The sequence below is a fragment of the Homo sapiens genome, chromosome 22 (genome assembly GCF_000001405.40).
Source record: "Homo sapiens chromosome 22, GRCh38.p14 Primary Assembly".
In the NCBI taxonomy this organism is placed as follows: domain Eukaryota; kingdom Metazoa; phylum Chordata; class Mammalia; order Primates; family Hominidae; genus Homo; species Homo sapiens.
The window spans coordinates 45,132,414-45,156,039 of NC_000022.11; the positions used below are offsets into that span (position 1 = coordinate 45,132,414).

Genomic DNA, 23,626 nt, shown 5'->3' on the forward strand with positions numbered 1-23,626 from the left:
GTTTCACCATGTTGGCCAGGCTGGTCTTGAACTCCTGGCCTCAAGTGATCCAACCACCTCGGCCTCCCAAAGTGCTGGGATTACAGATGTGAGCTACTGCTCCTGGCCTGAACCTGGCTTTGAATACAAATGAGCATATGTGTATGTGTCTGAGAGAGTGGCAGACTCGGGGGAAGCAGGCTGAGTGAAAAGGGACAAAGGAGGCCAGAGGGAAGAAGGAGAAGCAGAGAGGGGAGCACCAAGTATCTACCCACCACCTGGAATCTTCCGGATCCTGCGTGGCCCTGGAAATGACCTGCCTATGGCTTCAGACACGGCGACTTTAGGATGCCATCATAACACCCTCATTTTGGCAGACCTCCTGGGCCTTAAAGCTTCACCATCTCACTCAAAATTCACGGTGGCTTTTCCAAGCTAGCTTTCATTTGCCTTGAGATTGTCAGAATTACCTAGTGCCTCCCATTTTTCTTGCCTCCTCGCTCATCAATGCCAGTATTGCTTTCATACCCTAAGGACTGCTGTCTTTTAGCATCTTCTCTTTCATAATGAGTTAACTACAAATACACACCCCTCGGGATCAGAAAAGTAATGTGGCCTACAAGGAGTGTAAAAGCATTTGTAAACTTTATTTGTAAACCATATACATTTTAAAAAGAAAGTCAAATATTTTCTTTTTTTTTTTTTTTTGAGACAAAGTCTTGCTCTGTCGCCCAGGCGGTAGTACAGTGGCACTATCTTGGCTCACTGCAACCTCTGCCCCCCCAGGTTCAAGTGATTCTCCCTGCCTCAGCCTCCCAAGTAGCTGGGATTACAGGTGCCCACCACCATGCCCGGCTAATTTTTGTATTTTTAGTAGAGATAGGGTTTCGCCATGTTGGCCAGGCTGGTCTCGAACTCTTAGACTCAAGTGATCCACCCAACTCAGGCCCCCAAAGTGCTGCGATTACAGGTGTGTGCCACCATGCCCGGCCAAATATTTTCTTAAAAAGTAGGATCTAAAGTAATTCAAGGGCTGGGCATGGTGGCTCATGCCTGTAATCCCAGCAATTTGGGAGGCTGAGGTGGGCAGATCACGTGAGATCAGGAGTTCGAGACCAGCCTGGCCAATGTGGCAAAACCCCGTCTCTACTAAAAATACAGAAATTAGCTGGGCATGGTGGTGGGCGCCCATAATCCCAGCTACTCAGGAGGCTGAGGCAGGAGAATCGTTTGAACCCAGCAGGAGGAGGTTGCAGTGAGCTGAGATCGCACCACTGCACTCCAGCCTGGGTGACACAGCAACACTCTGTCTCCAAAAAATAAATAAATAAATAAATAAAATAAAGTAATTCAGGCAGAATTTTAAAATAAAGCCTTCTCCAATTTTTTCTGAGCAAGGAAAAAGAAGGAAATAAATCAGTATTTGTTGGGGGTGTACAAAATGCCCAGAACTGCGCTAGCCCCACCTTCTGTCTCAGTGGTGTGTGGTCTTCCCAGCAATGCTTAGAAAGAGAGAACGGTGTCCTCATTTCACAGATGGGGAAATAATAAGGGCTCAGGAAGGTGACATACTTCTAATAAAACTGAAATCTGAGCTGAGCTTGGTCTGACTTTTACAAGTGCATTGGACTTTTTCCACTCTAGGAAAACTTCCTCAGCTCTAACTTCCAGGTAGACTCGGGTTAATAAATGTCATGTCACAGAAAGTTCTAGCAAAGCCCATGGCTTCACAAAGCAGATGGTTTGATATGAACTTAATGTTTTTGTCTAGAATTATCCTTCATAAATGTAGGAAAGGCAAAGACAGCCCTTCACCTTCTGGTAAAACACAGGCCTCAATTTCTCCTGCTCCCTCCATCTTAACCTCTTCATTGAGGAAAAAATAATGCTAAGTGACTCTTGTCCAACATGAGTTTAGTGGTCAAAGGCAGAGTAGAAATTACTTAGATGAGGCTCATAGTAACACTATACCCATGATAACAGCCATATTATTCAGGATAAAGTCCAGGCAGCTAAAACAGAGAGACTCTAAAAGACAGTGACTCACAGAAAGTCCTTATCATATAACAGTCCCAAAGTCGGGACAGTGAGAGGGCTCATGACGTCACTCAAGGACCCAGGCCCTTTCCACCTTGTTGCTCTGCCAGACTGCAGAGTACTGTTTTCGCCCCATGGTCAAAGCTGGGTGGGAGCACATGCACATTCCAGCTTGTGAGAAGAGGAAAGAGCACCGCTGCAGGACCAGGGCTCATCTTCCATGCCCAGGGCTCATTTTCCATGCTGGGGACGACCTAGAAGTTGCACCATCATCACTGCACACGTTCTGTGCTTGGCCACAAGGCCGCACTAGCAACAAAGCAGACAAGAAGTGTAGTCTCTCCCTGGGCCCAATGGCAATTCTGTTCCTGTGGAAGAAGGGGAGACCAGATTTTAGTGTCCAACTATTAATTGCAACCTGCCACAATAACAACCATAGTTTACATCTGTACTTTGCTTTACAGTTAATCAAATACTTTCATACCCTCCAAGCCACCTAATCTAACAACAAACCTTTGAGTAGGCAACATTTCTCTCATGTTATACATGAGAAAACAGTACCAAATGCATTAAGGAAATAGGGTAAGGCATAGGTTGGAGTTTTAAATGCTCAGTGGGAATGCACCCCCTGTGGTGACTAAATATTGGTAGAACCCAAAAGAAAAGCTTGTTCAGTTTGTTCCAGACAGTATTTATTAAGCAAGTACTAAGAACCTAGGAACTGAGAAAACAGAATGACAAGACAGGGTCCTTGCCCCTAAAGATTTCACAACAGTTGAGGAGAGCAAAACGGTGCTTGTAGTATATAGGCATGCCTTGGAGATATTGTGAGCTTTGCAGGTTCAGTTCTAGAATAAAGCAAGTATCTCGATAAAGCAAGTCACACAAACTGTTTGGTTTCCCAGTACGTGTAAAATTTATGCTTACACTATACAGTAGTCTATTAAGTGTGCAATAGCATTATGTCTAAAACAATGTACATACTTTAAGATTAGATTTTTTTTGTTTGAGACAGAGTCTCACTCTGTCGCCCAGGCTAGAGTGCAATGGCCTGGTCTCGGCTCACTGCAACCTCCGCCTCCTGGGTTCAAGCGATTCTCCTGCCTCAGCCTCCCAAGTAGCTGGGATTACAGGCGCCCACCACCATGCCTGGCTAATTTTTTATATTTTTAGTAGAGATGGGGTTTCTCCATGTTGGCCAGGCCGGTCTCAAACTCCTGACCTCAAGTGATCCGCCTGCCTCAGCCTCCCAAAGTGCTGGGATTACAGGCATGAGCCACCACACCTGGCCAACAATATTCACTTGTATCTCTTCCTCCTGCATTGCTTAGCATGTGGGAAGTTTGCAAAAATGCTTGCTGAACCAAACTGAATATTGTATTTTAAAATTTGCCCATGTGTTGTCATGATGTAGACACATTGTAGACTTTGCTATTGTTCAAATGTTGTCTTATTTGATGAATACAAATACAAAGGGTTTGGCTGAGAACTTGAGCTCTGGTATCAGGTAGGCCTGGGTCTGAGCCTCAGATTCTCCACTAACTAACTGTGGCACAATGTAATCTCTCTAAAAAGCAACATAATTAGATTTGCATGCTCAGATGAGATAAATGCCCACCTGGAATTCCCTGCCCAGCTGAATGTCAATAAAAGAATGACGGAGAGAAGAGTTTGTTTTTCTTAATAGGACTAAAAGAATACCACTGTAAAGATTCTCATTGAAATAAATTCTATAGTATTTATTTCAGAAAGAAAACATTTAAAAGAGAAAAATGTAGGAAACAACGGTGAACAATAATGGGTAACTACGTAGGCAAATCTAAATAAGTATTGACTGTATAAAAACAACAGCAAATTGTAACTAATTTGAATATAAAAATGAGTTGGAAGTAAAATAATGAATAATAATAACATATAATTCTTACTCTGAGCAGGGCAACAGGGGAAAAGTGACATACAAGACATAAAATGACATATTGAGTCCAAACAGGTGTTTGGATTATAGCATTTTAAACTCTTGGCATTATCCAAGACTACAGTAGAGATATTGATTAATTTCAGATAAGTCGAAAATGAATGTTAAATATGCAAATTTTAAAAACTTCTACCCGTGGGATGGGGTAGTTGAGAAGTGGGTATAATGAAAACTCAGACAAAACAGAAAACAAGAAGAGTCTTTTTTAATCAAATAAAAAAAAATAAACATGAAAATTAGAAAGTACAATGTTAGACAGTATCTATAGTCACAATGATAGCAAACAAAGTTTCCACTACAAAACACAGAATCACAGAGGAGACACAGACAAGACAAATTAATCTATATAATACTGAAAGAAACACACCCAAAGCCGAAGTATCTAGAAACACTGAAACTGAAAGAAGCAGGGCGTAGGGGGAGAAATAGGTTTACCTAGTTCTATTTTACCAGAAGAATATGAACCAAAAAAGAAAGCTTGTATAGTTATTTTATTCTCAGAAAAAAATGGAAAGACAGAAAGTATTATCAGAAATAAGAGGCTATAATAAAAGGAACATTTCCCCACAAAAGTATAAAAATTCTGAACCTGTTTTCAACTTAACAACATAATCTCAAAACATAACCAAAAATGGACAGAATTACAAGGAGAAATTGGTAAATCCGCATCAAAGTCGAAGAACGTATCATTTTCCCAAGAACATTTACAAATATTGGTCACATACTAAGCTATAATGTCAAACTCAACAAATACCAAAAATTGATATAATAAAAACCAATTTCTCAAATCCAATTTAATAAAAATAGAAATCATTAACAGAAAATAAGTCTAACATGTCCATGCGATTGGAAAGTTAAAAAATAAACTCCAATATAACTCATGGGTCAAAGAAAAACTCAGCAACTATCATTTAGGACAAAATAATATTTTTGAATATCCCCTCAATGGTGCCACTCTACCCGCTCCTGACCAATGCTGTTAGACAACACACACAAACACACATTCACAGACACTGTACTGGGAATAGAGAAACAAAATTGTCATTATTTGCAGAAGACTCCAATAACAAAAAAAAAAAAAAAAAAAAATGAAAGAAGATCAAAGACAAGGCATAAGAAGAAAAGAATTTAATTAGGCTGCAGGATATAAGATGAATATACAAAAATCAATTGTGTGCCTATATGCCCACAACAAATGGCTGAAAACTGTCACTTTTAAAGAATACAAAGTATTTAAGGTACCTAGGAATGTATCAAACAAAAGATGTATAACATCTTTATGTTGAAAATTATAACACTTCTTGAATGACAAAAATGGATGAGAAAACCTCCCATTTAGAGGAAAATTCTCTCAAAACTAATATTAAATATTAAGCGCAGTTTCACACAAAATCTCAACAGGGTTTTTTTGAAGAACTTGTAAACTGATTCCAAAATGTATATGAAAGAGCAAAAAGTCAAGTACAACTAAGAACATTTTAAACAATGTGAGACTTCCTTTGCCAGTTATCAAAACTTACCATGAAGCTATTAAATTTAAGATATTGATACTGAGATAAATATATGGTGAATGAGACTAGAGTGCACTGGGGAGCAATGGGAGTCGGCTTTTTAAGGGATACAAAATTACAACTAGCAACTAGACAGGAGGAAGAAGTTCTAGGGTTCTGTGTCAATGTAGCATAACTGTAGTTAACAATAAGATATTACATAGTCTCAAATAGCTAGAAGGAGAATATTGAATGCTCTCAACACAAAGAAATAATCAATGTTGGAGATAATGAATGTGCTGTTAGCTCTGATCACTATACATTATACATCTCAAAACATGACTCTGTGCCCCATAAATATGTACATTATATGTCAATTAAAAAATTAAATTTGAAAAGGAGAGTAGCAAACAAACTCATGCATATATGAAAACACAATATATGATAATATATGATAGCTGTTATTACAAAAGGAAAAGGATTTAATAAATGGGGCTCCACACAGCTTGTTTTCCATATGAAAAAAAACCGAACTGCTTTCTAATACTATTCGCAAAATACTATTCACAAAAATAAATCCTAGGTGGATTAAAGACCTAAAAGCAAAACTTGAAATCAAAGGAAACAGAAAGACAAGAAAAATAGCAAAACTTGAAATAGAAGAATAGAACAAAAACTGAATATTCTTATGTTCTCAAGGATAAGAAAGGTCTGAACAGGCAAAACACATCAACTATAAGGGAAAGGTTGGTAAGTTTGATTATATAAACAAATGAAAACTTTGTTACAACCAAAGTCACTGTTGCTGGGATAAAAGTCAGCCTATAGAGCAGGAGACATTCACAATACATATAACTGACTAAGGATTCATTTCCAAAACATATAAAGAATGTCTATAAGGAATAAAGGCCAGGTGTGGTAGCTCATACCTGTAATCCTAGCACTTTGGGAGGCCCAGACTGGAGAACGGCTTGCGGCCAGGAATTCGAGACCAACCTGGCCAACATAGTGAGACCTCGTCTCTATTAAAAAAAAAAAAAAATCTTTAAAAAAATTATACATACATACATACCATATATATGATATATATCATATATGTATATATATGATATATATCATATATATATAAGATATATACCACATAACTAATACATAATATATGTATATATAATAATCCATATATGTCTATATAATAAGGGCCAAAAACTCCAGTAGAAAAATTGGGGAAAATTTAAATAAGCATTTGACAGAAGAAGGAACAAAAGACCAAGAAAATCAACCTCATCGGTAATCAAGGAAATGCAAATGAAAATGATGAGGTTCTCTTTTATACCTAGGAGAAAGGAAAAACTTAAATTGAACACAATGAAGTTTCCAGGGAGGCTGGGCACAGTGACTCACGCCTGTAATCCCAGCACTTTGGGAGGCCGAGGTGGGCGGATCACTTGAGGTCAGGAGTTCGAGACCAGCCTGGACAACATGGTGAAACCTCATCTCTACTAAAATAAAAAAATTTGCTGGGCGTGGTGGCATGCACCTGTAATTCCAGCTACTCGGGAGGCTGAGGCGGGAGAATCGCTTGAACCCAGCAGGCGGAGGTTGCAGTGAGCCGCGAATACACCACTGCACTTTAGCCTGGGCGACAGAGCCAGACTCTGTCAAAAAAAAAAAAAAAAAAGTTTGGGAGGAAATGTGGAGTAAAAAACCCTCGCACATACTGACAGGGTCATACAAACACTTGGGGTAACCATTTGGACAGAGTTGGTAGGTGAAGATGCTGGTACCACATAACCAAGGAACTCTACCGTAGGTATATACCCAAACACTTCCGCAAGGATGTATGTACAAGAAAACACTCGCTGCAACATTAGTAGTGATGGCAAAGATTTAAAAATAGATAAACTCTGTTGCACTTATTTGGTGGACCACGATTCATAGCTGTGATGAGGAGTGCCTGGCATACAAGCACTATATAAGTGTTTGATGACATCATCATTGTCACTGTCATCATCAGCATAGATAAACCTCAAGAGCTGAAGTTCAGTATAAAAAAAAAATCAACAGAAAGTTGTACAGGGTGTGTTATTACTGGTATAAAGTTCATGTAGTTTAAAATCGTTTTGCCAATGTTGTAAGGCATACTTATGGATAGACACATGTGTAAATAATATAAACTACGAAAACCTGCCTGGGAATAAAAATCATGAAACTCGGGATGACGTTCATCGGGGAGGGCAAAGGAGGGAAATGAAGTCAGGGAGTGCAGGAAGGGCTCCATTTGTATTTGCAGTTTTATTTCTAAAGCTGGAAAGACAGTATATGGAAACTCCTTATCTTACTCCCCACGTGTCTTGTCTTTTTTTTTTTGCAGGCAGGATCTTGCTTTGTCATCCAAGCTGGAGTGCAGTGGCACAATCTCAGCTCTCTGCAGCCTCGACCTTCCCAGGCTCAGGTGATCCTCCCACCTTGGCCTCCCAAGTAGCTGGGACTACAGGCGTGTGCCACCACACCCAGCTAATTTTTGTATTTTTTTTTTGTAGAGGTTTATGTTGCCCAGGTTGGTCTCGAACTCCTGGGCTCAAAAGATCTGCCTGCCTCAGCCTCCCAAAATGCAGGGATTACAGGGGAAAGCCACCACGCTCAGCCCTCCGTATGTCTTTATGTACTCAATATTTCATATTTTAAAAAGAAGTCTGGTAATGCCATGTGCCAGTGAGGATTTTCAGGAAAAGAAACTCATACTGCTGCTGGGAATATAAATTGGAATAGCCATTTTGGGGAGCGAAGTTTGAATGTCTGTCCTGGGACCCAGCAATCCGACTTCCAGGAGCCTATGCTAGAGAGGTCTCCTGCATGCGGGCACAAAGACATTGATAAGGATGGTTAACCAACCACTGTTTATAAAAACAAATAGAAACAATTGTTTCTAAATGTCCATCAATAACAGCTGACATTTAGTAAGTGCTTGCCACACACCAGTGGTTGTATAGGGGGATGAACACATAGAAATAAAACGGATAAACAGAATAGCCTACTATTACTATTAAAATGATAAAGAGGACATAAATATATCAAATATGATAAACCTCCAAAAATGTGTTAAAATGGTGAAAAACAGGTACACGCAGTATAAATTTTAAAATCATAAACTGATATCAAATAATGCCACTCATAAAAACATAGAGGGCCAGGTGCTGTGGCTCACGCCTGTAATCCTAGCATTTTGGGAGGCTGAGGTGGGTGGATCACTTGAGGTCAGTCATTTGAAACCAGCCTGGCCAACATGGTGAAACTCCGTCTCTACTAAAAATACAAAAATTTGCCGGGCTTGGTGGCAGACACCTGTAATCTCAGCTACTTGGGAGGCTGAAGCAGGAGAATCCCTTGAACCCAGGAGGTGGAAGTTGCAGTGAGCCGAGATTGCACCACTGCACTCCAGCCTGGGTGATAGAGCGAGACTCTGTCTCAAACAAACAAACAAATAAATAAATAAATGGGGGAAGAAGTTTTGAGAGTCTCTGACCTATGAGGCTGCAAGCACCCTGGGGTATACATTTACTTGACAGCAGTTACCTCTGAGGAAGGAAGGAGAAGAGGAGACAGTGGGCTGTACACTGCAATGTTATGTTTCTTAAAAAAAAAAAAAAAAAAAATCTGGGCCAGGTGCAGTGGCTGATGCCTGTAATCCCACCACTTTGGGAGGCCCAGGAATTCCTGAGGTCAGGAGTTCAAGACTAGCCTGGGCAACATGGCGAAACCTATCTCTACTAAAAATACAAAAATTACCCGGGTGTGGTGGTGGGCACCTGTAATCCTGGCTACTCGGGAATCTGAGGCAGGAGAATTGCTTGAACCTGGGAGGCGGAGGTTGCAGTGAGCTGAGATTGCACCACTGCACTTCAGCCTGGGTGGCAGAGCGAGACTTCATCTCAAAAAAAAAAAAAAAAAAAAACTGAAGTAAATATGGTAAAATATTAACATTTGTTCAGTCTGAATGGTGAATACGCAGGTGTATTAAATTCTTTTGTATTTTTCCATATGCTTGAGATATTTTATGTCTGATTTAAGGAAAAAAGAAAAGTCACCTCCTTTGAGAATGTAAAAAAAGAAAAAAGAAATGAAAAACCCCCAACTCTAAATCGTTCTTTGATTCAAAGGGAATCAAGTTGCTCATTTCCAGTAATGACAGGCAAGCTAGGACTGACCCAACCACTGAAAACATCTAAAAATCTGGATTAAACAAACATCCCATTAGTATTCTATGTGTTAGAAGCAAGTCACAGATCCTGGAGTTACACAGGGCATGAGTAACAGGGGACAGGGATCAGAGCAACCATGTAGCTGGCTGTCCCCACACAACCGCTAAGAACATTGAGACTAAAAAGAAGCTGTACCCAGAGAGGTAGGGAGAGTGTCTCAGAGCACAAGCCATTTGTGCAATGAGGATGTTTTCTAATACACTGGACTTGTGGTCCTGTTCCATGGCCCTCAGGCCAGAATGACAGAGATCAGAACCCAGGACCCACCTGCCTGGGTGGGTATCACATGGAAGACGCTGCCCATATTGGTTTGGGGCAGCACGACAAATACAAAAATACAAGCCAGATTTTCACACACACACACACACACACACACACACACACGCGCGCGCGCGCGCGCGCGCATGCGCTACTGGGAATGCAGAGACCGAAGCCTTGAGACTAAGGAATGAAACTGAAGTTCAAAAAAGAAAATAAGCAGCCTTTGGGAGAATGTGGCCACGGGCCAGCCCTCAGGTGGACTGGCATCCAGGGCACTTGTAGCATTTTTGGGCCAAGGACTCCTGAAACTTTAACTTGGCTAGAGTTATCATCTGATGGTGCCCCTAAGAATCTAGCAGACGAAGAGACGGGAAGGTCCTTCCCAGGCCTCAGGGAACCCACACAAATAATTCCTCCAGGGTAACGGCAAAACGCCAAAGATATTAGGCACTTAAAACAATATGATAACATGCCGGGCGTGGTGGTTCACGCCTGTAATCCCAGCACTTTGGGAGGCTAAAGTGGGCAAATCACGAGGTCAGGAGTTTTACACCAGCCTGGCCAACATGGTGAAACCCCGTCTCTACTAAAAAATAGAAAAATTAGCTGGGCGTGGTGGCGGGCGCCTATAATCCTAGCTACTCAGGAGGGTGAGGCAGGAGAATCGTTTGAACCTGGGAGGCAGGGGTTGTAGTGAGCCGAGGTCGCACCATTGCACACCAGCCTGGGTGACAGGGCGAGATTTTGTCTCAAAAAAAAAAAAAAGGAATATGACAACATGAAGAAAGGCCAAGAAAAACCACAAACAAGACAAATAGAGCTGCACAGGCTTTAGAAACTGGAATTATCAAGGCTACTTTTAAAAACAATTATGAGCTGGGCATGGTGGCTCACGACTGTAATTCTGACACTTTGGGAGGCCAAGGCTGGTGGCTTGCTTGAGCTTGGGAGTTCAAGACCAGCCTGAATGACATGGCAAGACCCTGTCTCTATAAAATATTTTTGAAAATTAGCTGGGCGTGGTGTAGTCCCAGCAACTTGGGAGGCTAAACTGGGAAGACTGTATGAGCCCAGGAGGTTGAGGCTGCAGTGAGCCATGTTCATGCCACTGCAGTCCATCCTGGGCAACAGAGCAAGAACCCTATCTCAAATAAATAAATAAATAAAAACAATTATGCTTACCACGTTAAATGAAACAAATGACAAACTTAAAAATATTTTCAGGGAGCATGAAACTAAAATGTGAAAAAAACATATTTGAAAAAGAGCCAAACAGGATTCCTAAAAATGAAAAATAGGATATCCCAAATTTCAAATTCTATGGACTATTAGTGGCAGACTGGACACAGTCAAGGAGAGAATTAATGAACTGAAAGTCAATGCAGAAGAAATTATCCAGAATGCAGCCTGGAGAAGACAGAAAATACTGAGGAAAGGGTAAGAGATGTGTGGGATACAGTAAGGAGGTCTAATGTATTTGCTCAAAGTCCCAGAAAGAGAGAACTGGGAAAACCAAGCAGAGGAAACAACAGAAGAGATAACGCTGTGAGTTTCACCAGTCTGACCACTTATCCACAGATTTGAGAGCCCAGTACATCTCAAACAAGATAAACAAAAAGAAACTGTCATCTAATATATCATAGTGAAATTGCAAAAAAAAAAAATCAAATAAAAAAGTTGTAAAAGTGTGTATGGAGGGGATGCCCTTCAAAGAAGCATTGACTGCTTTTCCATAGATTGATTTTCCACAGCAGTGAGAGAGATCAGAAGACAGTGTAAGAAAGCATCTCAAAGAAAAGAACTGCCAAGAAAATTTTCAAGAATTAAAATAAGAATAGTTTCAACAAACAAAATTGAGAGTCTGTATCAGTAGATCCTCACTGAATGCAATACTACAAATTGTGCTTCAGGCATTAGAAAAGAGTTCCCAGTTAGAAGTTCTAAGATGAAAAAAAAGAAGTAATAAATGTGTGGGCAACTATAAATAAACATTGATCATATAAAGAATAATCATGTCTACTAAGGTTATAAAAAATGACAATACCAGACAATAGTAACATATGATTAAGAGATGATATAAGGAATAGTAGGTAGGATTTTAACAGGTAGAGATGACAGAGAGAAACATTCTGGGTAGAAACAGAAGCTTGAACAAAGAAATAGTGGTAACAACAACATAGAGAATAAGCAGTCCAGTCTGACTGAAACAGGGCAAATGAAAAGAACCTGGTGAGCAGCGCTGTATTAGGAAGGATGTGAGGACTTGGTCTTTAATGACTTGTGCATCTGGGGCTCATAGGGGTAATTGCAGACTCTTGGTTAATGTCACGGGACTCCCAAAGTCTTAGAAAACAGATAAAACTGATGTGGTTCCTGTCCTCAATAAGCTTTTAGAAGCACAAATGAAGGAACACCAGAGATCTTCACAGTTTATCCCTCCAACACAACTGGTAGTTCTGAAATGAACCTCTAACAAACAGCATGTTGGAAAATTACAAAGAATACTTATTTCCTTAATCTGCTTTCAAGTCCCATGGTAGTTTTTTCTTAATAACAGCTTTGTTGAGATATAATTCACAAACCATAAAATTCATCCTTCAAAGTGCACAATTTAGTGGATTTTAATGCATTCACAGAATTGTGCAATAATCAACCACTATCAAGTGTTATATTTTTATCACTCCAAAGAGAAATCCATACTCCTTAACAGTTGCTTCCCATTCCCCCCTCCCTGCAGCCCTTAGCAACCACTACTCTACTTCCTATCTCCATGCATTTCTGTATAATGGCTATTTCATATAAACAAAGTCATACAATATGTGGTCTCCCGTGACTGGTCTTCTGTTCTTTCACTTAGCATGTTTTCAAGGTAGATCCAAGTTGCAGGATGTATTAATACTTCATTCTACTTATTGCAAATAATATTCCATTGTATGAACATGCCATATTTTATGTATCCACTCATTCATTTATGGATATTTTGGTATTTCTACTTTCTGGTAATTATGAATAATTCTATAAACATTTGCGTAAAAGTTTTTCTATGGGCATGTTTTCAACTTTTTTGGGTGTATACCTAGGCATGGCATTCCTGGGTGATATGATAACTCTGTTTTTTAACATTTTGAGGAGCTACCAAACTGTCTCCCAAAGTGGCTACACCATTTTTTATTCCCCCCAACAATGTATGAGGGTTCTAATTTCTCTACATCATCAACACTTGTTGTCTGTTTTATTATATCCACATAGTGGGTGTGAAATGATATCTCTCTGCAGTCTTGATTTGCATTTCCCTGCTAATGATGTTGAACATCTTTCATATGCTTATTGGCCATTTGTATATCTTCTTTAAAGAAGTGTCTATTCAGGTAGTTTGCCCATTTTTACTGGGCTTTTTGTCTTTTTTATTGTTGAGTTATACACTTTTTTTTTTTTTTAAAGAGACAGAGTCTCAATTGGTCACCTAGGCTGGAGTGCAGTGGCACAATCATAGCTCATTGCAGCCCCGAACTCCTGGGCTCAAGTGATCCTCCTGCCTCAGCCTCCCAAGTAGCTGGGCTGACTTTTCATATTTTGTAGAGAGGGGGTCTCACTACGTTGTCCAGCCTGGTTTCAAACTCCCGGCCTCAAGTAATCCTCCCACCTCAGCCTCCCAAAGTGTTTGTACTACAGGTGTGAGCCACCACTCCTGGTCCCAACATGTCCTTTATATATATGTATACATATATATTATATATATATATATCCCTTATCAGATATATGATTTGCAAATATTTTCTCTCATTCTTTTGGTTATCTTTTCACTTTCTTGAATGGTATCTTAAGAAGTACAAAAGTTTTGAGTTTTGATGAAGTCTAATTCATTTTTTCTTTTATTGCTTGTGCTTTTGGTGTTATAAGTAAGAGATCATAACCTAATTCAAGGCAATGAAGATCTATGCCTATGCTTTCTTCTAAGACGTCTATGATTCTAGCTCTTACATTTAATTGATTCATTTGAGTTAATTTTTGTATATGGTGGGAGGTGGGGGCTCAACTTCATTGTTTCTCCTGTGGATATCCAGTTGTCCCAGCATCATTTGTTGAAAAGTCTATTCTTTCCCATTGAAATCTTGCCTTTTATTTCTTTTTCTTGTCTAATTGTCCTGGCTACAAATCCCAGTACAGTGTTGCAGAGAAGTAACAAGAGTGCCCTTCCTTGTCTTGTTCTTGATCTTAGGGTGAAAACACTCAGTATACTGTTCTTTTTGAGTTTTTCATACCTTTTATCAAGTTGATAAAATTCCCTTCTATTATTAGTTTGCTGTCTGTTTTTATCATGAAAAGCTGTTAGTTTTTTTATCAAATGCTTTTTCTGCATCAATTGAGATAATCATATAGTTTTTTCCCTTTATTCTATTAATGTGGTGTATGATATTGATTTTTATATGTTGAAGTACGCTTGCATTCCCAAGACAAATCTCACTTGGTCAGGGTATATACAGTCATGTGCTGCATAACAGCGTTATATATGATGGTGCTCACTTGAGATTATAATACTTTACTTTTACTGCACCTTTTCTATGTTTAAATACACAAATACTTACCGCTGTATTACAGTTGCCTGCAGTATTCAATGCAGCAACATGTACAGGTTTGTAGCCTAGGAGCATAGGCTATACCACACAGACTAGGTGTGTAGTAGGCTATCCAGCTAGGTTTGTGTAAGTATACTCTAGGACGTCTACACAACAACAAAATTGCCTAATGATGCATTTCTCAGAAAGTTTCCTCCTCATAAGTGACAAATATCTGCAATTCTTTTAATATGCTGCTGAATTCAGTTTGCTAGTATTTTCTCGAGAATTTTTACATCTATGTTCATAAGGAATATTGGTCTACAGTTTTCTTGCACTGCCTTTGTCTAGCTTTGGTGTCATGGTAATGCTAGTCTCATAGAATGAGTTAGGAAGCGTTTTCTTCTCTTGTTTTTTGGAAGTTTGAGAAGATTGGTGTTAATTCTTTAAATGTTAGGTAGAATTCACCAGTGACACCATCTGGTCCTCGACTTTTCTTTGTTGGGAGGGTTTTGGGGTTTTTTTAAATTACTAACCCAATCTCCTTACTTGTTAAAAATCTATTCAGATTTTCTAATTCTTCTCAAGGTTTGGTAATTTTATCTTTCTGGGAATTTGCCCATTTCATCTAGGTTATACAATTTGTTGGCATAAAATTATTCATAATATTCCCTTATAGCCCTTCTTAATCTTAAGGGCATTTGTGATGCCCTCTTTCATTTCTGACTTTAGTAACCTGAGTCTTTTTTTCTTGGTCAGTCTAACTAAAAAGCTTGAAAAGAACAAAGGAGTAACTTTTGATTTTTCTCTATTCTATTTCTATTCTGTATTGCCACTAAAATCCGTGATTTTTTCTCTTCTGCTTGCTTTGGCTTTAGCTTGCTTTACTCCTCGCTGCCCCTCCCCACCCCCCCACCCCTTTTTCTTTTACTTTCTTAAAAGGTAAAAGATTTTAGATTTGGTTATTGGCCTGAGCCCTCACTCTTTTTTTTTTTTTTTTTTTTTTTTTTTTTTTTTTTTTTTAGTCTCACTCTATGGCCCAGACTGGAGTGCAATGGTGTGACCACAGCTCATGGCAGCTTCCAACTCCTGGGCTCAAGTGATCCTCCTGCCTCAGCCTTGCAAGTCCCTGGGATTATAGGCACAAGACATTGTGACTGAGATCTCTTATTAATATAAATTTCCTTCTAAGCTCTGCATTTATTGCTTCCCGTAAGTTTTGGTGTTATGTCTTCACTTTAATTCATTCCAAATATTTTCTAATTTCCCTTGTGATTTTCTTTAACCATTCATTATTTATGAGTTTGTTGTTTAATTTCCATATCTGTGAATTTCCCAACTTTCCTTCTGTTAATAATTTCTCATTTAATTCCCTTGTGAGGGGAGAGCATACTTTGTATGATTTCAATCCTTTTAATTTTATAAGGCTTGTTTTATGGCCTAATACATGGCCTATCTTTGAAAATGTTTTACGGGCACTTGTGAAGAGTATGTATTCTGATGTTCTTGGGTGGAATGTTCTCTAGGTGTCTATAAGGTCTAGTTGCTTTATAGTGTTAAGTCTTCTATTTCCTTGTTGATCGTCTGCCTGGTAGTTTTATCTATTATTGAAAAGTGGGTATTGCATTTCTCCCTTTAGTTGTTGCTTTTTATTTCATGTATCTTGCTTGGTCTTGTTGCTTTTATGGAATTGTTGATTTTCTCAGGTCTTTATCCACTATTCCAGAAGTGCTCCTACCCTCGACATCTGATTTGGAGCTTAGAGAATGTGTAAGCTTTTCAGTTAGAATCAATCTTGTTTTATAATATCTTCTAGGCCACAATATCAAGGTTCATACACTGTACAATGATCATATTCATTTTTTCCAGAATTTTCATTTAACAGATCTTAGCATCAGTGACATGTATGAAGAGTAAGGTAAACTTGAAGATAAAAACTAATATACTAATGCCCTCTTAGGTTTTTTTGTGTAGTAATTATAGGCACCGTATCTCCGATATCCTCAAACATTACATTTCTCCCAGGCTGTATATTTCACCTGAAAATCATAATCATGAAACTATACAGCTGTCAGGATTTTATCTCCACCTAGAATCTATGTAGATGCCAACCCAGTGTACCCTAATATACTCAAGGTCTCTAAATTATTGGTAGAAACGGTCCCTGACTTACAATGAATTGACTTAAGATTTTTCAACTTTACAAAGATGCAAAAGCAGTACCCATTCAGTAGACGCCATACCTTGAGTAATTATACAACTATTCTGTGTTTCCCTTTCAGTACAGTACTCAATAAACTGCATGAGATATTCAGCATTTTAATATAAGCTGTGTGTTAGATGATTTTGCCCAACTGTATGCCAACGTAAATGTTCTGAGCAAGTTTTAGGTAGGCTAGGCTAAGCTATGAAGTTCAGTAGGTCAGGTGTAGTAAATGCATTTTAGGTTTATAATAGTTTCAACTTATGATGAGGGACATAACCTCATCGTAAGCTGAGAAGCATCTATACCCGGCCTTATATATTAGGTATTTCACTTAGATTATTTTGGTTTCTTAAGTGCACACCTGAACATTACTCCTTTCTTTGAAGGTTGGTTTTTCACTACAAAACCAACCTAAAATAAAATCTAAATTGGGATTTCATTAGTCTCTATGATATAGAACTTTACTCAGTAGCTTATCCTCTAGTCTGTATTTATAAAAAAGCTCTAAGTTGTTCTTTTCATATCAAGTTTATCCAATTGTAAATACTAAAAACTTGTTTTGCATTCAGCAGTCTGTGTTTGTCAAGTGTGAGTTTTGCTGGCAAAAAATTCTGAGCCTAAAGCTTAAAACAATTATGAAAATAGTTAAGCTGAGTCAGAGACTGAGTGGCTTATTGCTATTATAAACATCTGAAACGTAATATGTTCTTCTGGAAGATTCCAATGAGAGTGATTGTAATATCCTTGCCTAATACAACTTGGTGCAAGGACTCTGCATATATAATTATGTAGATAATATAATCCTAGAGTATCTTATTCCACGTGTGTTCATGGTTGTCAATATTTGATTCTACCTTTTATTCAAAATATTCTTTTTATTCAAATAGAATTATTTGCCAATAGCTCATATCAATATAGAGACTGGTGTTCACTAACAATTGAGACTTAATTTTTTCCAAATCAGCTTAAATCATGATTGACCATGTGTTATAGGCTGAACTGTGTCCCCCCAAAATTCATATATTGAAGCCCTAATCCCCAGTGTGACTTCATTTGGAGATAGGACCAATAAGGAAGTAATTAAGGTTAAATTAGATCATAAGGGTAGGGCCTTGACCACATGTGGGATTACTGTCCTTATAAGAAGAGACACCAGAGAGCCCTCTCTCCCTCCCCCTGGCCTGACCTCTGTCTTCACATATGCATTGAGGAAAGACGTGAGAACATAGCTAGAAGGCAGCTCTCTACATGCCAGGAACAGACTCCTCACTAGAAACCAACTCTGCTGGGCTTTGATCTGGAACTTCCAGCATCCAGAACTGTAAGAAAATAAATGTTCGTTGTTTAAACTACTCAGCCTGTGATATTGTATTAATAATGGCAGTCTGAGCAAACTAATACACCATGTTTGGCTCTAGAGGTACAAAAATGAATCAGACCTAAGTCCTATACTTTAGGAGCACACTGTCTAATGAGGAGACACTTTCATGAAAATACAATGCCATAAAAAACTTCTAACTCAGCCTGGGAGCCCTGGAAGGCTCCCCAGAGCACACATTTGACTAAGGTTTTCAAAGAAGTCCAACTAGGAGAAGAAACAGCAATCCAGGCAGAGAGAATCCTCAGGAAGGACTCGGAGGCATTCAAAGGCAGGATGTATTCAGTGAACACTGAGAGGTCAGCGGGCATAGAAGGTGTGAGGGACTGTCAGGACAGAAGGCTGAGTAAACGGACCAGGGCAAGATGTCTATGAAGGGCCCTGAGAGCCAATATATAAGAAAACGGTTATTAAACAAAATGTTAGTACTAGGGCTGTCACAGCAAACTACCATAGACCTAGTGGCTAAATAACAGAAATTTCTTTTCTCACAGTTCTGGTGGCCAGAAGTCCAAGATCAAAGTGTCAGCAGGGTGGTTCCTTCTAAGGCCTCCCTCCTCGGCTTGCCGACGCCTCCTCACATGGTCTTCCCTCTGTCCACGCATCTACATCCAAATTCACTCTTCTTAAGAAGACAGGATTCATACTGGGTTAGCGCTCACCCTAATGACTTTATTTTAACGTAATTACCTTTTTAAGGACCCTGTCTCCAAATGCAATCCCATTCTGAGGTACAGGGATTAGGACTTCAAAAGATGAATTTTGGGGGGACACAACCCAGACTCTAGCAAACAACTACCACATGCATAACACAAGTTAAGTTTAAAACATTCACCTCTAGAGAAGTGATTCCTTTTGGACAACTTTTATACTTTTACCCAATGAACTCCCAGGCTTTTAAAGATTTCATCTGCCAAACTGCATTTATTAGCTTACAACTTCATCATTTTTTTTATTTTTTTAAATCAAAGACAAAATGTCAATCAAATTTCATCAGCAGGAAACATCTAGAATGATCATACTGAGTTGAAAAAAATGCCAACCAAGAGAAAAAGCTGACATTCTAATTAAAATGTGAAAACCCGTTGTGGGATAAACATGTGACCAGTGATAAACTTTCTGAAGAAGACCTCCTGAAGCGCACACACCTACAGCTGCATCCTGTGCGTGTCTGTATTACAGCTCTCAGCATACCGTATTGAAATTCTGTTTCTATGACTGGAGCCCGTCCCACACTCTGAATTTCCTATAGATAGGGACCATGTCTCACTCATTTTTACATCTCTAGCAGTGTCCCTGTGATAAGCTGTAATGAAGCCATTACTACCTCTTCGTAATCCCCAGAGACCAGAGGAGCCCAAAGCTGAAAAACACTGCTCGAGGATCTTAAATGTAAATGGGAAGATCACACATGTGTACATATACTCGTGTTCATGTACACACAAACTCCTACTTTAAATGCCAAGACAATGCACATGAAGAGGGCTCAGAAGAATGATACCGGTGGTGCCAGAGGATTCTGAGGAGGAGCTGATCAAAAGCTGGAGCACTCAGGGAAGACTTACTGGAGAAGGTGAGATGGGCTTTGGAAGATAAAGTAGAATTTGGATAAACAAAGAAGAGGGAGAAGGCATTCCAGTGAAAAAAATGACATGAGAAAATTCAGGGACGGAAAGGAAACATTTCATGCTTTTCAGCAATTAAAGATTTTTTTTTTTTTTTTTTTTTGAGACAGAGTCTCGCTTTATCACCCAGGCTGGCATGGCCTAGGGATAGGCCCAATTGTAGTAGGTTAAATAATGACCACCCAAAGATATCAAGTCTTAATCCCAGGAATTTGGAAATGTTACCTTATTTGAAAAAGAGGTCTCTGCAAATGTGACTTGATCAAGGATCTGCAGATGAGAACACACTGAATTAGCTGGGTGGGTCCTAAATGCCATCACAGTGTCTTTTCAAGACAGAGGCAAAGGAAGGTAAGGAGACATGGAGAAGATGATGTGAAGGTGGGGGCAGAGACTGGAGTTTCGCAGCCACACGCTCAGGAATGCTGGGGCAGCCACCAGAAGCTGGAAGAGGCAAGGAAACTACTATAGGGCAAAGTATAAAAAAACACCAATTTATTATTTTATCATTTTGAATCTTATTAGTTTGGCTTTTCTTTGAGGGGGATGAAGCCTCACTCTGTTGCCCAAGCTGGAATGCACTGGCGCGATCTCAGCTCACTGCAACCTCCACCTCCTGGGTTCAAGTGATTCTCCTGCTTCAGCCTCCCAAGTAGCTGGGATTATAGGCGCCCGCCACCACGCCCAGCTAATTTTTGTATTTTTAGTAGAGATGGGGTTTCACCATTTTGGCCAGGCTGGTCTCGAACTCCTGACCTCAGGTGATCTGCCCGCCTTGGCCTCCCAAAATGCTGGGATTACAGGCGTGAGCCACCGCACTCAGCTTTTATTGTCTTGAATTTCTTAACCAGGGCATTCTTTCCCCATACCAGGATACTTGGGAAATGTAATTATTAATGTTTCTAATGTGGTATTATTTTGCTATACAAAGGTCCTGGGCTCAAATACATTTGTGAAAATATTAAATAGTTCAAACAGCTTTATGTCATAACTTCTTGGCTCCTATGATGATGTGCTTGTGAAGCTCTAAGACTGGGGAGATACGACACCCCGAGCCTATTTAACCATGGAATACTTTTACTTCAGAGCATTTCTCAGCACTGGCATTCCATTGGCTATTTTTTGATAAATGCTGAACTGCAGCAAAGAAAGGAATCGTCTTGAAGAGATTTCACTCAGACCAGGAAGCAGCCTAATAATGAAACGTCCATGACCCACTGAACAGAACACTTCAGTAGTAACCAAAATCTTTCGTCTCTAGGCTCCTCATCTCTTTCACCTGGACAGGGATGGATTCATATGGCAAAATATTCTTTTCCAAACCCAGTTTATCTGGTTTTTATTAACAACACCTTCTTCTGATGGCTATTTTTTTTTTTTTTGGAGCAACAGAGTCTCACTCTATTGCCCAAGCTGGAGTCAATGGTGCGATCACAGCTCTCTGCAGCCTCCAACTCCTGGGCTCAGACAATCTTCCCACCTTAGCCTCCCTAGTAGCTAGAACTACAGGCATGTGCTACCATGTGCAGCTATTTTTTTTTATTTTTGCAGAGATGGCGTTTTGCTTAGTTGCCTAAGCTGGTTTCAAACATCTAGCCTCAAGCAATCCTGCTGCCTTGGCCTCCCAAAGGAATTATTTTCTTAAATTTGTTTTTATCATTAGTTAAGCCAGATAGATTTCCCTAATCAACTGGACTTTATTTAGTGGCTACTGAGGCTGCTCTAACAAGTTACCACAAACTTGGTGGCTTAAAACAAGAGAAATTTATTCTCTCACAGCTCTGGAGGGTAAAGTTGAAAATCCAGCAGGGCCACGCTCCCTCCAAAGGCTCTAGGGAGAATCTTTCCTCGCTTCTTCCAGTGTCTGGTGACTCCAGGTGTTCCTTGGCTTATGGCTGCATACCTCCATTCTCTTGCTGTCTTCCCATGGCTGCCTGCTCTTCCTCCCTTAAGAACACCTGTCCCTGCATTTAGTGTCCACCTGGAAAATCCAGGATCATCTCAAGTTCCTTAATTACATCTATAAAGACCCTTTTTCCAAATAAGGTTACATTCACCAGTTGAGTGGGTTAGGATGCTGACATATCTTTTGAGGGCCACTAACTATTCAACCCACTACAACCCTGAAAGAGGTATTAGTGTCGGTCTGCCACCAAGCTCATCTCTGGGTAATTACAAAAGTTTAGACCTGCAAAGTTGAGGGCCAGATCGCAGCCAGTAAACTCATCTGGTAGTACCTTTCTGCTTCACCATGAACCATCCCCATCACCTCGCTCAACCAAACAGCAGAAGTCATTATTTCCATTTTACAGACAGACAAACTGAGGTTCCATGAATGTGAGTAAAACCTCCAAGGGCACAGAACTAATCAGTGACAGAACTGGAATTCAGACTTGAGTCTTTATGACTGTGAAATCACACTCTCAACTCCATCTCACTGTCTTCTGCATTCCTTCTAGGACTATTCGTCTTATCTACTTCTGAGTCACACAAAACACACATAACAGACAACAAACAATATGAGACTTTTCCAGATGTGTCAAATGTTTTATATCCTGTTTTCCCATTTCTAGTCTTAACACCCCTGGCTCCTTCAGCCTTCACTTAGATGACATGGCTTGTCCCCTTCCCTTTTCAGTCACATTCTCTAAATCTGTTGCACTTAGTCTGTATGCTTCTTGAAAGAATGTTTCCCAGAGCAGACTAATTATAAACACCAATTTTTATTTAGTATTTATGTGCCAGGCTCTGTTTAAAGCATTTCAATTGTATTACTTGAATCTTCAGTAATCCCATTAGCTAGGTTACTATTATTATTCTCCATTTTGGAGATGAGGAGACACAGAAGTATCCTGCTCAAAGTCACAATGCTAGGATGTGAAAGACAGTATTAAAATGCAAGCAGCCAATCTCCAGGGCCCTGCATGCTTAGCCTCTACCCTCTATGCTGCCTCTCCTTGTGCCTACTACAAGTTTGGTCTCAACTGCTGGGAGTAGAAAAAGGCCATTTTCCTCCTTCTAAATAGTATTCAATTAATGCCACCTAAGATCATATCATGGTCGTATCGCATATGGGCATCTGGACATTGCTAAATGTGCGCCCAGCACTGATTCCCTTCCTCTTCCTTCTCAAAAGGATCTCAATTTTGTTCACGTATCTATCCTTCCCCCTCCTGAATTAGGGGATGGCGAATTAGTGGAACCATCCTCAGTGTCAGGGGTACAGCTTGACTGGCCTAAGACCTATTCTTAGACTGAAGTTGACCCAAAGAGAACTGAAGGAACACTGACAATTTTCAGAGGGACTCGTACCTCTGTGTGTTAGTTAGCTTGGACTGCTTTAACAAAACACCATAGACTGATGGCTTAAGCAACAGTTTATTTTCTCACAGTCCTGGAGGCTGGCAAGTCAGTTCCTGGTAGTATGCAGATGGCCAGCTTCTGGCTGTGTTTTCACATGCCATATGACATCATTTAACCTTAATTACTTTCTTACTCTAAATTCAATCACACTAGGAGTTAGGGTTTCAACATACGAATTCGTGGGGGACACAATTCAGTCCACAGCATCCTGTAATGTTCTATGACGTAAGCAAGAAGTCAGATGTGTTTGCCTTCTACTCCTGCATTCTCTGAGAAGGAATCCCAGTCCCAGACTCTTGAACTCTAATTTCACTGAATAGAAGCAATTAACTAGGCTCTGAGGCAGAGGAAGAAAGAGGACCTGGGATGAAGACTGAAAGGTCACTGATGGCTGGGGAGAGGGAAGAAAGTCTGAAAGGAGAGGCTCAGGCAAGGCAGATTCAATTCCGATAGGCAACTTAGAGAAAAATCTTGCCCCTGACCCAAGAAGCTGATGC

General features: G+C 39.8%; 1 long non-coding RNA gene across 2 annotated transcripts in view, besides 1 other annotated feature; it reads right to left on the minus strand.

The window, feature by feature from the left end:
• Positions 1 to 1,344: 1,344 nt before the first annotated feature.
• The window catches only part of NUP50-DT (NUP50 divergent transcript), a 30,024-nt gene continuing 7,742 nt past the window's right edge, over positions 1,345 to 23,626 (minus strand). The window contains exons 1-3 of one of the 2 annotated variants that reach the window (NR_038957.1): positions 19,992 to 20,171; positions 6,411 to 6,503; positions 1,345 to 2,384 (exon numbers count right to left, since the gene is read on the minus strand). This is a non-coding gene — a long non-coding RNA (NUP50 divergent transcript). Of the gene's footprint in view, positions 2,385 to 6,410; positions 6,504 to 19,991; positions 20,172 to 23,626 lie in introns of those variants that run through there. The other variant, NR_038956.1, reaches the window with a different exon arrangement.
• Positions 7,675 to 7,969: an enhancer, noted in NCBI's record as "tiled region #5228; K562 Activating DNase matched - State 9:DNaseU". NCBI's record gives its function as "activates a minimal TATA promoter and a strong SV40 promoter by Sharpr-MPRA in K562 cells {active_cell/tissue: K562}" and the evidence as "EXISTENCE:reporter gene assay evidence [ECO:0000049][PMID:27701403]".